This window comes from Homo sapiens, chromosome 6 (genome assembly GCF_000001405.40).
Source record: "Homo sapiens chromosome 6, GRCh38.p14 Primary Assembly".
NCBI lineage: Eukaryota > Metazoa > Chordata > Mammalia > Primates > Hominidae > Homo > Homo sapiens.
This window is the reverse complement of record NC_000006.12, coordinates 127,680,444-127,697,674: the sequence shown is the minus strand read 5'-3', so window position 1 is coordinate 127,697,674 and position 17,231 is coordinate 127,680,444. Positions and strand designations below refer to the sequence as shown.

At 35.6% G+C, this 17,231-nt stretch overlaps 1 protein-coding gene and 1 long non-coding RNA gene across 3 annotated transcripts in view; one reads left to right on the top strand and one right to left on the bottom strand.

Moving 5' to 3' along the window:
• Positions 1-1,047, top strand: part of THEMIS (thymocyte selection associated) — a 221,968-nt gene extending 220,921 nt beyond the window's left edge. For both annotated transcript variants that reach the window (XM_047418766.1, XM_047418764.1), the window contains exon 8: positions 218-1,047. The gene's annotated coding sequence lies outside the window, so the exon portion shown is untranslated. The remainder of the gene's footprint in view (positions 1-217) is intronic.
• Positions 12,914-17,208, bottom strand: LOC124901400 (uncharacterized). Its single transcript, XR_007059751.1, has 3 exons — positions 17,122-17,208; positions 16,265-16,344; positions 12,914-12,967 (listed from the first exon to the last, which is right to left on the bottom strand). It is a non-coding gene; the product is annotated as an uncharacterized LOC124901400 (long non-coding RNA).
• Between the last annotated feature and the right edge of the window lie 23 nt (positions 17,209-17,231).

The window sequence follows — 17,231 nt, the reverse complement described above, 5'->3', positions numbered from 1 at the left end:
ACAATTGCAAAAGACTTGAAGTCAAAACATACATGACATGTTCAGTGGGACCAAGGGGTTCTTGAATTGGAGAATAGCTAGGGAAAAAAGTAAGAAAAGTAGAGAAAACTAGAAAATAGGGAGCTTTGGAGGTAACATTAAGGAATTTAGTTTTTCATTGAATGAGATGGGAGTCACTGGAGGGTTTTGAGAAACTGATGGTTTCTTATTTTCCTAGAACTGTTATGCCTATTGCTTGAGGGTACAATATACGTGAGGAAGAGCAGAAGAAGCAATATCAGTGAGGGGGCTAATGCAACAATCCTTCAGAGATGACAGTTGCCGGAATCCAGGTGGTAAGAATGAGAATCAAATTTTGTACGTATTTTGGAAAGGTAGAACTATTAGAATTTGTGGAAGGCATGGATATAGTTGTGGGAAATAGAGAGGAGTCAAGGATGACTTGAAGAATTTTGGTCCATTCAAATGGAGTTACCATTGACTATAATAAAGAATAGTGCAGGAAGTGCTGATTTGGGAATTATTCTCAGAGGCTCAGTTTTGGACACATTAATTTTTGTATGCCTTTTAGCCCTCACGCAATTGCATATATGAGTCGGGAGAGGGGTCTAGGCTGTAGACACAAATTTTAGAGTAGTATACACATACATGTACGTGTATGTGTGTGTGGGCGCATGTGTTATCATATATTTTGAGTTGAATTGTGCGTGTCCAAAATCATATATTGAAGCCTTCACATCCAGTGCCTCAGAATGTGACTGTATTTGGGATAGATGTAATTAAGGTAAAAAGGGTAAGATGGGCCCAATCCAGTAGATTGGTGCCTTTATAAGAAAAGGAAATTTGGACATTAGACATACACATGCACAGAGGAAAGACTATGTAAAGACAGAGAGAAAGCTATCTACAATCTATGGAGGGCAGTCTAAAAAAATAAAAAATAAAAACCAAAGCAAAACAAATCACAAAACTCTGCTAACACTGTGATCTCAGACTCCTTGCCTCCAGAACTCTTAGAAAATAAATCTCTGTTATTCAAACCCCCCAGGAAATGGTATTTTGTTTTTTGTTATGATAGCCTTAGCAATCTAATACAGATTTTGATACTGAGAGTGGGATGCCAACTGTAAAAATAACAATAAGTGTGGAAGTGGCTTTGGAAATGGGTAACGAGTAGAGGCTGGAAGACTGATGATGCCATGTTAGAAAAAGCTTAGCTTGCCTTAAAGAAACAGTTGGTGGAAATACGGACATTAAAAGTGCTACTGTGGGGCCGGGTGCGGTGGCTCACACCTGTAATCCCAGCACTTTAAGAGGCCAAGGTGGGCAGTTCTCTTGAGGTCAAGAGTTCAAGACCAGACTGGCCAACAAGGCAAAACCCCATTTCTACTAAAAATATAAAAATTAGCTGGGCATGGTGGTACATGCCTGTAATCCCAGCTACTTGGGAGTTTGAGGCAGGATAATTTCTTGAACCAGGAGGTAGAAGTTGCAGTGAGCCGAGATCACGCCACTGCACTCCAGCCTGGGCAACACAGCAAGACTCTGTCTCAAAAAAAAAAAAAAATTAAAAAGTGCTACTGTGAAACCTTAGGTGGAAATGAGAAATATGTTTTGGACACTGGAGCAAAGTCAATACCTATTATACAGTGGCAAAGAACATGACTGAATTGTGCTCTAGTGTTTTATGAAAGGTAGAACTTGTGATTAACCCAGGTCTTTAGCTGAGGTGATTTCTAAGCAAACTTTTGAAAGTGTGGCCAGGTTTCTTTTTGATGCTTATGGTAAAATGCAAGAGAAGAGAGATACATCAAAGGATCATTAAGAATAAAGGAGTCAAAACTTGAGATTTAGAAAATTATCAGTTTATTCATATGGCCAAAAAATGAGAAAGCTTCTTCTGAACAGAAAACAAGGGTGTGACTGGTCATTCATTTCATAAAGAAATTATGAATGTGACACATGGATTGAATCAACGATCTCACCAGAAGGCAAGAATAGAGATGTGATTATCCAGGAAAAATATGTGGAGGGCACTCTTGTCTGATGGCTTGGATCCCTATGAAGTCAACAAGGTTATTTTTGAGAATTTTATATCAGCAGAAAAACTGCCAGCTTGGAGTAAAAGGGACAGTGATGGGAGAGAGTGAAGGAAAGCCACCAGACTTCTGAGATTCCATAGGATGGGCCAATTGGGGTATCTGGCTGAAAATCTGTGCTATTCTTCAAGAAAAGAGAAAAATGACTCCAAAGGTGGGACTGCCACTATTACCATGGGCTCAGAGTCTCAGGCCTGGGTGACAGGGCTGTCTCTTCTCCAGTTTCAGAGGGTGGGGCCACCACCTTGGTTTCAGCAGGCCAGGCTGCCATTATCCAGGGCCAAGGGAGCAAAATTGCCACCCCAGATGCCCTGGGGGGCAGGCTCACCTCCCCAGTGGGTCCTGAAGACAAAGAATTGAAACAAAAGGGATTATCCTTGACCCTTAAAATATACTGGAATTTGCCCTGGTAGGTTTTGGACTTGCCTGGGACCTCTGACCCCTTTCTTCTTTCTGATTTATCCCTTTTGGAAATGGGATGTTTATTGTATGCCAGCCCTACCATTGCATTTAGTAAGTTGATAACTTTTGCAGTTCTATAGGTTCAGGCTGAAGAGGAATTTTGCCTGAGGATAATCATAGCTTGATTCTCACTATGCCTGATTTAGATGATATTTAGATGAACTTTTAGACTTGGATTCAATACTGGAATGGGTTAAATATTTTGAGCTATTGGGAAAGAACTCATATATTTTGCATGTGAAGAGGACATGAATTTTGGAGGGCCAGAGAGTTGGAGGGTTTTGGGTTGAATTGTGGCCATCCAAAATTAACATGTTAAAGTCCTAAACTTAGTACTTTAGAATGTGACTGTATTTGGAGAAAGGTCCTTTAAGGAGGTAATTAAAGTGAGGTTATATGGCGGGCTACAATCCAATATGATTAATGTCCTTATAAGAAGAGGAAATTTGGACATGGGAATATGAGCACACAGAGGAAAAACCATGTGAAGACAGAGGGAGAAGATGGCCATCCACAAAGCAAGGAGAAAGGCCTCAAAGAAACCACCTCTGCCAACACCTTGATTTCAACTTCTTGTCTCCAGAACTGTGAGAAAATAAATTTCTGTTATTTAAGCCATTCAGTATGTGTACTTTGTTATGGCAGCACTAATAAACTAACACCATGTATTTGTACATATGGTATTGAAATAAACTCACACACATATGTACGTGTATACAGATAGTCCTTCCTTGCACAGTTCCAATATGTACAGATTTCAATTACCATGATTTAGTTAAATAATACCAAATAATAGTAATTCCCCAACAACGCAGTTCAAATTTTAGTTTTCACAGTATATTAACTGAGTAACAGAGTAAAGTACAAATGTTGCTGCTAGCTTTTCAGACCGTAAATGCTTATGTAAATAACATGGATACATTGTGATCAGTGGCCAATGATGTAACTTCTTTTAAAGTTTGTTAGTGAATGTTCACTGCACATCTGTAATTCAGTTCCCACAGACAGCAAAGCATTTTGTTATGTTGCTTCCTGGTCTCCTACTGAAAAACCCACCTGACATTTTATAAAAGTGAATAATCCAAAGAGGGAATTAAAGAAGTCAACATACATAAAAGTGCAGCAAAAAAACAAAAAGTAACACCAGCAGGGAAATGTGAGTCAAATATGAATGGAGTTATGGGAAAATAGCTGCCATTAAGAGACTCTAATTACACAGCCAGAGGAACTTAGTGAAGTTCCCACTTAATGACATGCATAAGGAAAGTGGTTCTGACAAAAAGGACAAAGATGTTGAAGACGAGGTGGTGGTAACAGCACAAATACTTCACTTGAAAGAAATTCTCTAAGATATTTCACATCATTGGAAGATACAATGTTGGCATCTGATACAAACTTAGAAAGGAGTATGACAATTCTTCCTCTGTATTTTACAATACATGATGTAGATATGTAGATGTATAGTCATACATATATATAAATGATGGTTAAAATTTAAACTACATAGTCAAGTTTTAAAATATTTTTAAACTAATTAAATTTAATTAAAATAAAAAGTTAATGTTTATACATAGGACTTAATGTAGATAAGGGTTTTGAAATTAAAACATTTATACTTTCAATTTCAAAGCACACATATACAACGAGAGAAACAAAAATAATAAAATAAAAAATGGGTAAAGTACACAAACTCATAAGTTAATCAAATTGACATTTAAGTATCATATTTCATCTATCATAGAAGCACAGATTTAAAGCTTTCCTAAACTGAGTGTGGGTGTGCAGAAACAGGAACTTAATGTGTTTCTTGGTGAGAATATAAAGTAAAACAAAATTGTTGAGTGCAATTTGACAATATCGATTAAAAAATATTTACCTTTTAACTCAGCAGTTTCATTTCCAGGAATTTATTCTAGGTTATCATCACAAATTAGGCCATGAAAAATAAACACAGATGGGCACTGTTTTAAATAGTGCAAAATTGCAAACAATCTAAATAACGATTGATATGTGGTACTATCCGACACACAAACAGACAGATGGGTAAAATGAGGGACAGTGGAGTTGTGAGTAGTATGTTCTCATTTATTAAGTGTGTGTCTGTGAGTGCCTGTGTGTGTGTGTGTGTGTGTGTGCATGCGTTTATGTACCAAAAAGTATAAAAGTGCCCTTTCTTGCTGTGGGCCTAAAGTATGGAGGTATATATAGTTTAACTTTTTGACAATAAATATACTTTCAAAAAGAACTAAGGACCAATGTTATACCTATATTAAACAGTATTGCCAAAATAGGAAACGAATAATTATTGACCATTTGAGAAGGCTTCAAGGAAAGGGAACGTGTCAGTTTAGACCAGTTAGTGTGCCAGACACAGTCAACAGCTTCTTCTCATCTTACTTACTTGGGAAGGGTGTACTATTCTATCATAATGAGGAGACATTACCCTTAATGTATTATTGCCTTTAAATATGTCTCAAATTCATCTACTTCTCTCCATCTCTTTCTTGCCTTTATGTGGACTCCTCTGTCATTATCTTCTGTTACACCTTAATCTGGATAGTAACCAACAGAGTTTGAATATTTCCTTTGTGAACTCTGCAAGTTTCATCAAAGCAGACACCAACATTCCTTCTTCTCCTCTACCACTATAGTACATATTGTACACTAGTGTATCTTCAGTATTGTGAATAATGGTTTGCATATATTTTTACTGAGTTCTTGGTGTTTAGGCTGTTTGTATCATCTGTTTGATATCAACAGCACCACATCGTAGGTGCAAAATGTATGATTTTTGAATGAATAAATCTCTAATGCTATATACATTTATTTTGTAATACCACTTCTAACTTAGATTTTTATCTTAAGCCTTATCTTTAATTGTGGAGGTTTCAAAACATTTCCAAGCATTGTGTATTTGTTCCTTTCATGTTTAGCACAGTTTTATTACCTTTGAAACCTGTTACATCTTTCCCAACTAGACCATAACTCCATGAAAGCAATGTCCTACCTGTTTTGTTCTCCAGTCCTACAAGTACCTGAGAGAATAGTTGAATAAATGTGTAAAATGAAAATGTTTGTTCACTGATGAGTAAGAGTCATGCTTGACCAGTGGAGCATCTTTCAAGATAACAGATGACACTTGTAGGGAGCCAGGGGTCACCTCCAACCCCCCTTTTAACTCTTAATAGGTTCTTCAGCTGGATGGAGAAACCAGATTGACACCAGGCAGGTTGATAAGAGAAAAGCATACAAATTTTATTAGTTTTACATGCACATGGGGTTCTTCACAAGAGAGGGAAGTCAAAAGAAGTGGCCAAAGCAAGATGCCTTGATACTTTTTAGACATAGAGTGATAGATTTGAGAAGAAATGATAGGACAAAGAAAATCTGGCTACAGTGGTAAAAATTTTCCAGGGGAGTTACTAAGAAATACATGGGAAAGTGTAAAACAGGTGAAGGATGAGGATTACTTCATTAATTATGTTTATTTAGGTCCACTGTAGCCTTCAATTCCAAGTCTCTGGTGATACGGGCTATTTTCTGACCCTGATATGGAGAGAGTACCCCTTCCAGAGGAATCTTTATTGTTTGCTGCAGGTAGAAAGAGATAGGTCAGCTCAGCCTTTCTGAAATTATTTCTCTAATGTTTTTAACTCAGAATAATCAACATACCAAGTAGGCATATTTGGGGATGGCACATTGTTCACTCCTTTACTCTGAAGTTATGTCTTTTCAGGGCTTGCAAAACAATGACAGGACTAAAAAAATGCTGATATTGTAAAAAACTTTTTTTCCCAGACTATAGATTTTGTGTATATAATGAGTTGATAAACTCTGAGAACATCAATTTTTAGTCAGATTTGGTCAAATTCAAATTTACCTTGGTCACTTACTACTTGTGTGATCACAGGAGCAGGACTTCATTCCATTATCTATTAAATGGGGGACAAAGACACCTGCCAGTAGAATTGTCATGGAGATGAAGGATAATGATGGATGCACATGAAGCACAACCCAGTGCCTGGCACTTGAAAGGTGCATAAACGTCATTAGTCTCTTTCTTCCATTTCCCCTCCTGCATTTTTGCTTATAATCCTTGTGTATTTAGTATCCATGTAACATACTATCAGCATGTGAAATAGATAATTTTTAGAGCATTTGAATGATGTTAGTAGAAATCACCCATTTCCTGACAGTTTTTAATCTGCATTCAACTTTTGATTATTTATTTGCAGATTGGTCATGAGAATCATAAAAACTCCTGGCTACCTTTCTTTTGCCACCAAGTAATTATTACCTATTATCATTTTTTAACCATGTGTATAAACCTCACTGTCATGTGCTTTCAAGGATGGAAAACTGTTGTGCTTATAACTCAATTTCAAACAAATGAATAAAATAAATATTTGTTCAAAATCCATGTCAATATTATCAGTTAAAATAATACAGTTTTCCATAATAGTTCCAAAATATCAACTGAACATTTAATATTGAAATTGATAAAATTAAGTCCAGTCCCCTAAATGTGGCAAAATCACAACCCTTCTTAAGACAAATAAAGCAGCTGAACACTGTCTTAGATAAGTTTTATTCAATGTATTAAATTCTATCAGAAATTGAACGCAATTATAAACAACAGTATATGTGTTGTATGTTTACAACACATATACATTGAAACTGATGTTTAGTTTAAGTTTTTTGTTTTTTTTTCACATGTGGTTTTTACTTAATTCAAAATATCTGCCAAGCCTTGGAATGCAAGTTAATTCCAAGCAACAATGAAAATGAAGACAGGGGTTGATCATGAGCATGACCACTAGATGCTGCTAGTTGTCTAGTTTATAAATCTAAGCAGTTGCATTTCTCAAAAGCTTGCTTCTCCCTTTTTTTACCACTGTTTTTCAAACACAATATAGAATTCAATTCTAAGGTTCAGTTAAGTTGGAGCATATAGAAAGTTAACATTTGTAATATTCAAGTTTAAAAAAATTGCTTCTAACTTCACTCAATCTCTTTTTCTTTACATCCTAAAAGGTAGTAACATCCAAGTCTAAAATATAGTTATGTCACAAAAATAACCACATCTCCTTGTAATTACATTATTGTTATAATAAGCTGTCATCAGATTTTTTAACAATGGGCAATTTAACTCTTGTCGTTCATGGACAGTTAATTGCTTTACTTTGATTCTTCTCTGAAAGTGTTTGTAATCAGCTACAGTTTAAAATTGCCTTATCTTCAAGGACATTCATGAAAAAGACTCTGACAGGTACTCTGAAATACAGATTGCTGCTGATAACTTTGTGATCTTATCATTGGACTGGGTAAGAATTTTTAAAACTCTAATGAAAAACCTAATGGCTTCATGCAACAGCTGTAACAAGATCAAGCAAAATAAGAATTGCATGATGTTCATTCTGCTGAGGATAATGTTTTTTGACTTTCTATTCAAAATTTTGGAGGTTCTTAAATGTTTTATTTTCCTGAACTAAGGAAATTTTAAATTTTTTCTTAAGCTATCTATAGCATATTGGTAACATACGCTTTTGTAAACAGAATTAAAATATTTACCTTTTCTCCCTACCTGATTCTTCCAGAATTCACAAAGCTACTTGTTGATTTTCTTATTTCTTGGCAATACAGTGAATTGCAAAAGTTCAATAAGACTCTGTTTTCTTTATAACAGGACAGAATTGGAAATACCGGTTATATTACTAAGACTCTGACTGGGATACTATATTTGAGAAGATACAAAGAACATCTAGCTTCAAAGATTCTCAGCCTCATAGTGGCTCTCACTTCCTGGCAGGCCCAGGAACCTCAGGATATTTTGGAGAGCCCAAGACAAGAGGAATTCACTAAAATCTATAGGTATTGCAGGCAAAGTTTGATGATGAGTCCTTGGCTTGACATTATAGCTTTGAGAGGCTTTTAAAAGACAAATCTGATATTTCTTATAAAAAGATTCAGGAAAGTAAACTTAAAGGGGCCAACAACAGCCAAGCTGAGAGGTAAATCAGGAAGGCAATCCCATTCACAATTGCCACTAAAAGAATAAAATACCTAGGAATACAGGTAACCAGTAAGGTAAAAGATCTCTACAATGAGAATTACAAAACATGGCTCAAAGAATCAGAAAAGACAAAGAAATAGAAAAGCATCCCATGCTCATGGAGAGGATGAATCAATATTATCAAAATTGCATACTGCTCAAAGCAATTTATATATTCAATGCTATTCCTATCAAACTACCAATGACATTCTTCATAGAACTAGGAAAAACTATTTTAAAATTCATATGGAACCAAAAAAAAAAAAGCCTGAATAGTCAAGGCAATCATAAACAAAAAGAACAAAGCTGGATGCATCATGTTACCTGACTTCAAACCATACTACAGGCTACAGTAACCAAAGCAGCATGGTACTGGTACAAAAACAGGCACACAGACCAGTAGAACAGAATAGAGAGCCCAGAAATCAGGCTGCACACCTACAGCCATCTGATCTTCAACAATGCTAAACAAATAAGCAATGGTAAAAGATTTCCTATTCAGTAAATGGTGCTGGGATAACTGGCTAGCCATGTGCAGAAGATTGAAGCTGTACCCCTTCCTTACACCATATACAAAAATCATATCAAGATGGATTAAAGACTTAAATGTAAAAAGCAAAATTGTAAACTCTTGGAAGACAACCTAGGCAATACCATCCTGGACACAGGAATGGGCAAAGATTTTATGACAAAGACATTGAAAGCAATCTTAACAAAACCAAAAATTGACAAATGGGATCTAATTAAACTTAAGAGCTTCTGCACAACAAAAGAAATTATTAGGAGAGTAAACAGTTAATCTACAAAATGGGATAAAATATTTGCAAACTATGCATCTGACAAAGGTCAGATTTATAAGAAACATAATCAAATTTACAAGAAAAACAAACAATCCCATTAAAAAGTGGGCAAAGGACATGAACAGACACTTCTCAAAATAAGACATACATGTGGCTGACAAGCTTATGAAAAACAGCTCAATATCACTGAGAATTAGAGAAATGCAAATCAAAGCCACAGTGAGATACCATCTCACACCAGTCAGAATGGCTATTGTTAGAAAGTCATAAAATAACAGATGCTGGTGAGGTTGCGGAGAAAAGGAAACACTTAGATACTGATGGTGGGAGTGTAAATTAGCTCAACAATTGTGGAAAGGAGAATGGCGATCCTCCAAAGGGCTAAAAGCAGAACTACCATTAAGCCCAGCAATCCCTTTACTGGGTGTATACCCAGAGGAATATAAATCATTCTACCATAAAGGCACATGCACGTGAATGCTCACTGCAGCACTATTCACAATAGCAAAGACATGGAATCAACCTAAATGTCCATCGATGACACATTGGATAAAGAAAATGTGGTACATATACATCATGGAATACTATACAGCCATGAAAAAGAACAAGATCATGTTTTGAAGGAGCATGGATGGAGCACGAGGCTATTATCTTTAGCAAATTAACACAGGAATAGAATACCAAATAACACATATTCTCACTTATAAGTGAGAGCTGAATGATGAGAACTCATGAATACAAAGAAGGGAAAAACAGAACCTGGGGTCTACTTGAGGGTGGAGGGTGGGAGGAGGGAGAGGAGAAGAAAATGTAACTATTGGGTACTAGGCTTAATACCTGGCTCATGAAATAATCTGTAAAACAAACCGCTGTGACACAAGTTTACTTATATAGCATGTACCCCTAAACCTAAAACAAGTTTAAAAAAAAAAAAAATAAGGATTTGCTTCATAGTTGTATCAGAAGTCTTCAACGTGAAAAAGGGGCCTATATTGTCAATCACTATTTTTGCTGTGCTTACATAATCAGGCAAAGTATGATGAGAGTAAATTTATTTTTATAAACAAATTAGTCTTACTTTGATTAACTCAGGTAGAAATTGGGGTGACTATAGAGATAAAAAGTACGTTTCTAAAAAAACTATAGTATACTTGTTATTGGATTATAGCTCTATTCATTGTTTGTTTATTTGTTTATTTATTTATTTATTTTGAGAAAGAGTCTCACTCTGTCACCCAGGCTGGAGTGCAGTGGTGCGATCTCAGCTCACTGCAACCTCTGCCTCCCAGGCTTAAGCGATTTGCTTACCTCAGCTTCCTGAGTAGCTGGGATTACAGGTGCCCGCCATCACATCTGGCTAATTTTTGTATTTTTAGTAGAGATGGGGTGTTGCCATGTTGGCCAGGCTGGTCTTGAACTCCTGAGCTCAGGTAATCTGCTCATCTCAGACTCCCAAAGTGCTGGGATGACAGGCGTGAGCCACCAAGCCTGGCTGTTTTTGAATTTTTATTATCTACCTGTAGATTGGACTGGATCCTCAAACTTTTCTTGTTCCCTTCAATATCTGGCTTCCACTAGTGACAAGAACAGTTCTGTTCTTGAAGCCCTATAATCTGGAGCCCGACAAGTCAACATCATTTTCTAGGGGCAACTTTGTGCCTTGAGAGTTCACTGAAATGACAAATGCCACAACCAGAGACCTTCATACTGCAAACAGGATGAGAAGTTGACAACTTCAAGTTGTGGACAGCTTTTCCCAAGACATAAGAATAAGATTCATCATCATGAGACTCTTACCCCTCTTAATTATTTTCCTTTCCTATGTTTCCCTCTTTTGCTTGGAAGTATAATACTGTCATTAAAGTCTCACAATTAGTAGCTTCTGTGGGTAACTTGAGGGAGTGTTGAATCTCTCATGCCAAACCCAAATCTTTACATTATGTAAGAGATCCTTTAGTCCACCCATGAGCTCACTTTAGCAACATTCCTAACATAACTGCTCAAATTGCACTACTGCTCCCTTTTATGGGATCAGATTCTAGACCTATTTGTTCTCACTCTGTGTTTTAATTTAACCTAGTCATGGAATACTAAATAATACTTTCCTGAAATTAGCATATTTGCAGCAACCAATTAGAAAGGGCCCATTTGACCTAAGCCAGTGTAATTATGAAGTCCTCTTTGCTTTAACTCTTAAAAGCAACTGAAGTAATCTTATGTTAACCAATCTGTTTTTGTTTTTTATCCCGTTTACTTGTCCCAACCTTATAAAAATCAACAGTGCTGCCATGCCCAGAGCAGCACTTCATCTATTTTATGGAATGAGATGCTATAATGAATGAGAACTCAGGAAGAGAACCCATAAAGTTGTTTATGAACTTCTGGGCTGACTTCAACCTGCATATGCATGAATCTGGTTCTAGTCAGCATACCAAAGAGTTTGGAGAACTGAGCTAATGCATAGGTTATTATATAGGTCCCAGACTGACAACTGAGTAGTGTACACAAGGGACAAATCCAAATAGTACTGAGCCACTGCAAAAACTTTGAAATTGAACTGAAGCAGTAACTATATGCTATAGAAGATGGGTAGAAATTTGCAGCCTGAACTTTTGTTTTAACAAGTAGATTGCCTGCAAAACCAAAAATATCAACATTTTCCATAGGATTTAAGTAAAACCCAGAGTCCTATAACATAATAATCAAAATATCCAGGATACGATAGAAAATATATATGTGAAGAGAGATGAAAATGTCAACTTTGATGGGAAAATACAATCAACAGATGCCTACAATCAGATGATGTAGATGTTGGAATTATCTGACAGGGATATTAAAGCAGCTATTTTTAAATTGCTCAAATGTATAATCATGAACATTTTTAACAAATAAAAATAAAATATATAAATTGAAATTATAAAATGGAGATATATATATATAGTGATAGAAGTAAAATACTTGAAGAATAAACTTAATAGCAGAGAATGGAATTGACTAAAGAAAGAGCAAAGAAATTATCCATATGAAAAATAGAAAGAAAAAACTTGAAAATTCTATACATCTGTTTCAGAAAGCAGAAGACAGGCAAACATTTACCAACCTATTTTATAAGTGTAACATTACCCTGATGCTAAAACCAGACCAAAAAAAAGGCAAACCAACAAACCCACAGACCAATATGCCTCCTGAATTTTGATTTTAAAGATTCTCAATCAGGTATTATCAAATGGAATTCAGCAATATATAAGAGGAAAAATATATCACTACAAAGGGAGGTTTCGTGAGCATACAAAGCTGGTTTGATATTTAAAATTAGTCAATGTAATTCACATTAAAATATACATTCCATAAGATTATATAAATTAATGCAGATTAAGCATGTGATAAAATGCAAACTCTATTTATCACTTAGAAACTTTCAGCAAACTAGGAATAGAAGGAAACTTCATCAACTTGATTAGAAGGCATTATAAAAACCCTACAGTTAACATTATACTTACTGGTGAAAGACTGAATGGTTTCCTTCTGCAATCAGAATACAGTAGTGAAAAGACCTACAGAAAAACAGAAATGAAAGTGCTCCTCCTCACAGACAACCTGATTGTCTACACACAAAATCTCAGTTTTCCATTAAGAAAATGCATATACAAACTATGATAAGTACCACTGCACACCTGTTAGAACGGCTAAAATACTGACAGTATCAAGTGTTGACAAGGATGTGGAAGATCTGGAACTCTCATACATAGCAGCAGGAATGCAAACTGATAGAGCAATTGTTTTGGGTTGAATTGTGTGCACCCCCAAAAAATTTATACTTCGAAATCCTAGCCCCTAATATCTCAGAATGTGACTGTATTTGGAAATGAAGTCGTTACAAATGTAATTAGTTAATATGAGATCATACTGGAGCACAATTTGTCCTTAATCCAATACAGCTAATCTCCTTACAAAGAGGAGAAATGTCCACACAATTCATGTCTTTATAGGTGAGTGAGTTTCTTGTACTAGCCTATAGTTGGGTCTTTTCTTTTAAATCAGTTCAACCACATCATGTCTTTTAATTGGGGACTTCAACTTTGATTTGTTTACTTCAAGGTTATTATTGATGAGTAAGGACTTCCTACTGTCATTTCATCACTTGTTTTCTGGATGTTTTGTAGATCCTTTCTTCCTTTTTTCTTCTCTTACAGTTTTCCTTTGTGGTTAAGTGATTTTCTCTAGTAGTATGCTTTGGTTCTGTGCTATTTATTTTTAGTGTATCATCTATTGTAGATGTTTGCTTTGCTGTTATCATGAGGCTTACAAAAATCATCTTATAGTTAGAACAGGTTATTTTAAGCTGAATGACATCTTTAGTTGCAAGCAAAGAAAAGAAACAAAACCAAACTCTACACTTAACATCATTTCCCCCCCACATTTTCACTTTTTGAGGTCTCAATTAACGTTATTTTATATTTCCTATCTCTTAATCAATTGCAGTTATTATTGTTATTTATTAATAGTTTTGTCTTAGTTTTCATACTAAAGATGTATGTGGTTTACACACCACAATTTCAGTATTAGAATATTTGAATTTGTCCTTATACTTTTACTAGTGAGTTTTATACCTTCAGATGTTTTCTTGTTACATATTAGCACCCTTTTCTTTCAAACTGAGGAACTCCTTTTGACATTTCTTATGAGATAGATCTGGTTTTGATCAATTCCCTCAAATTTGTTTGCCTGAAAAAATCTTTATCTATCCTTTATGTTTGAAGAATAGCTTTGCTGGGCACAGTATTTTAGTTTGCAATATTTTCCTTCAGCACTGTGAATGTATTGTCCCACTCTCTCCTGGCCCTGAGGGTTTATGCTGAGAAATCTGCTGAAAACCCCATGGGGGTCTCTGTTGAATATAATACGTTTCTTTTTTCTTGCCACTTTCAATATTCTTTTTTGTCTCTGATTTTTAATAATTTTATTATGATGTGCCTTGGGGAATTTCTCTTTGGGTTGAGTCTTATTGGTGACTTCGGAGCATCTTGTACCTGGATGCTGTCGTCTTCTTCCAGATTTGAGAATTTTCAGCTGTTTTTTTCTTCTCAAATACGCTTTATAGGCCTTTTTCTTTCTTGTGTCTTTTGGGAACTCCTATTATGCGAAGGTTAGTTTGTTTGACGGTATCCAATAAGTCCCATAAGCCTTCTTCACTTTTTAAAATTCTTTCTTTTTGCTCCTCTAATTAGATAATTTCATATGTTCTGTCTTTGACCTCACTGATTCTTTGTTCTGTTTGATCAAGTCCGTTTTCTGAAGCTTTCTATTAAGTTTTGAGTACAGTTATTGTATTATTTATTTCTGGGATTTATATTTGTTTTTTAAATTGTTTTTATTTCTTTGTCAATTTCTCATTTTCTTGTCTCAATATATCTTGTCACCTTCAATTTTGGGGGATTGGTTGCTGGAGCTTTATTGGTTTCTTTTGGTGGCGTCATTTTTCTGATTTTTCACAATCCTGTGTCCTTACATTGGTATCTGTGCATTTGAGGACATGGCCACCTCTTCAGCTTTCGCAGGTGTTCTTTGAGTGTTAAACCTTTACTACTTAATATCAGAATTTAATTGCTGGCCTGTTGTTGCCCTGTTCTGGGGAGAATGTACAGTTCACACCACAAGTTAATTGCTACACTGCAACTTAAAGCTGCAGTGGTTTCTGGGTCTGAGAAAGACTTAAGCAAGCACCAGAGCTTAATTGTAACATTTTAAATGTTTCTTGGTCAGGAAAAGGCTCCATAGGAGCACCTGAGATAATTGGGGAATCTGGCCAGGGACTTAGGCCTTCCCATGGATAATGCCCTAACAGTGCTATGGCATAACCAATCTCCTCTGCGTGACAGCTCCACTAATTGGAGCACAGAGTAGCCATCATGATCTGTGGGATGGTCACTGTGATCAGCATCCTGTTCCTTGTCTCATGTTTACCCTAAGTGGTTCAGCTCTTCCATGGGACAGGGCCAAAGCGTGCTTTCTGTGAAGACTGCCAGAGCAGCGGGGAGATCAGACTTTCACCTCCAATTCCCTCCTCCCACCTTGGAATTCCTGGGTTCAGAAATTTCTCTGTGAGTGGTATTTTGCTGCTGTGAAGCAGGGAGTGGCAGAGTCTAAAATGACCATTCCTCTTGAGGTCACAGTTTTTCTTGCCTCTGTCGGCCCAGGGGGTTTCTCCTCCAAGTTACGGTGAATCCAGGGTGGCATCCTTGTCTTTTAATAGTTGTTAATTGTACATCTGTGTGTTTGAGTGATCCCAGGATCTTTTGTTCCACTGACTTTCTATTGTCACTTCTTGGTTACTCTTAATGCTCTGCTTTCATGATAAATGCTTTATCAGAATTTAAAAAACCTTTAGTGATTTTTGTAGATAACGTATTCTATCTTCACATACAAGTTTATAAAGAAATTCAACAAAACAGAAACAGGAACTATAAACCAAAAGAAAAAAATTGATAATAAAATATGTATTTTAATGCATAAAATGCTTGGCACAATTTAAAAATGATATTAAGGCAGATAATTGCACTTGTAAGTCAAACCCTGTGACTGAAAATTATAAATAAATTCTAATAAAATTGTGTGTTTTTTACCAATAGAAATAATGTGGACAGCATTGCTTTAGGTGATATTATTTATCAAAATGATGAAAAACAACAGAATTTTAAACAAAATTATACAGAAATTTTCTTTGAAGTAGATGGTAATTATACTTACAGAAAATCAAATAATAAAGTAATCCCTCAATATACTTGGTGAATTGGTTCCAGGACCACCCACATATACCAAACTCCATGCTTACTCAAATCCCACAGTCTGACCTGCTAAATCTGTGTATACAAAAAGCTGATCGTCCATACATGAAGATTTCACATCCTGTGTATAATATATTTTCAGTTACCTTTGGATGAAAAAAATCGGCATATAAGTAAGTCCAGTCCATTCAAACGCATGTTGTTCAAGGGTTAACTGCATATTTAACGTGCAAAAGTACTGTATATACATATACAGGTTTTTAAAAATCTTTACGCATGTCCAGTAGGTATTCTTTTGCAACTCATAGAGAACGTAGAAAAAATATTTTTGTTTTATGGGAGAGGCCTTTGTATTGTATTTATTGCATCATTTCATCCCTCCATATGCCAAATTTCATTAGTACACTTCAGTTATTTGCAATTTTATTTTTGCCTCCTCCAGACCATAAAAATTTATAGACAGTGGAAATATTATAATCTTTTCCTACCCTTTTCTAGCCTCCTGACTGTATTCATGTTCTCCTGTCTGAGGAGCTCATGATTAAGTGAACCTGTTGATTGTTAGGTTGTCTAAGTTATCTAGAACAATTAAGGATTGAACACATTCCTGAACTCTGAATCAAATTTCTGTTTGCATTTTTTGAGCTTTAGAAAAATAATTATAGCAGTCAACCTGGCTCTAGAGAAAGGTACAAATTCATCCTCCCTGGACCTGAACTGTATATTTGTAATTGTATAAGGATGCTCTATTTGCTATTAATAAAATCTTGAGGATAAGATAAATTCTTGAGAGATGAAGAAAAGTGCCATAAAGAATAGGAGTGTAAACTGCTTGTGAAGATAAAGAGCAAATAGAAAAGAGTTTCTTTTAAAAAATTTAGAATAAAATAGACAGATTTTTAGAGAGATTATTTTGAACTCACCATCAGCTGACTGTTATTGTTGAATGTTTTTCATTATTTTTCTAGAGTCCCTTGTATTCATTTTGGAAAACCAGATATTCTCCCAATTTAGACCTTGTTACTATAAATAT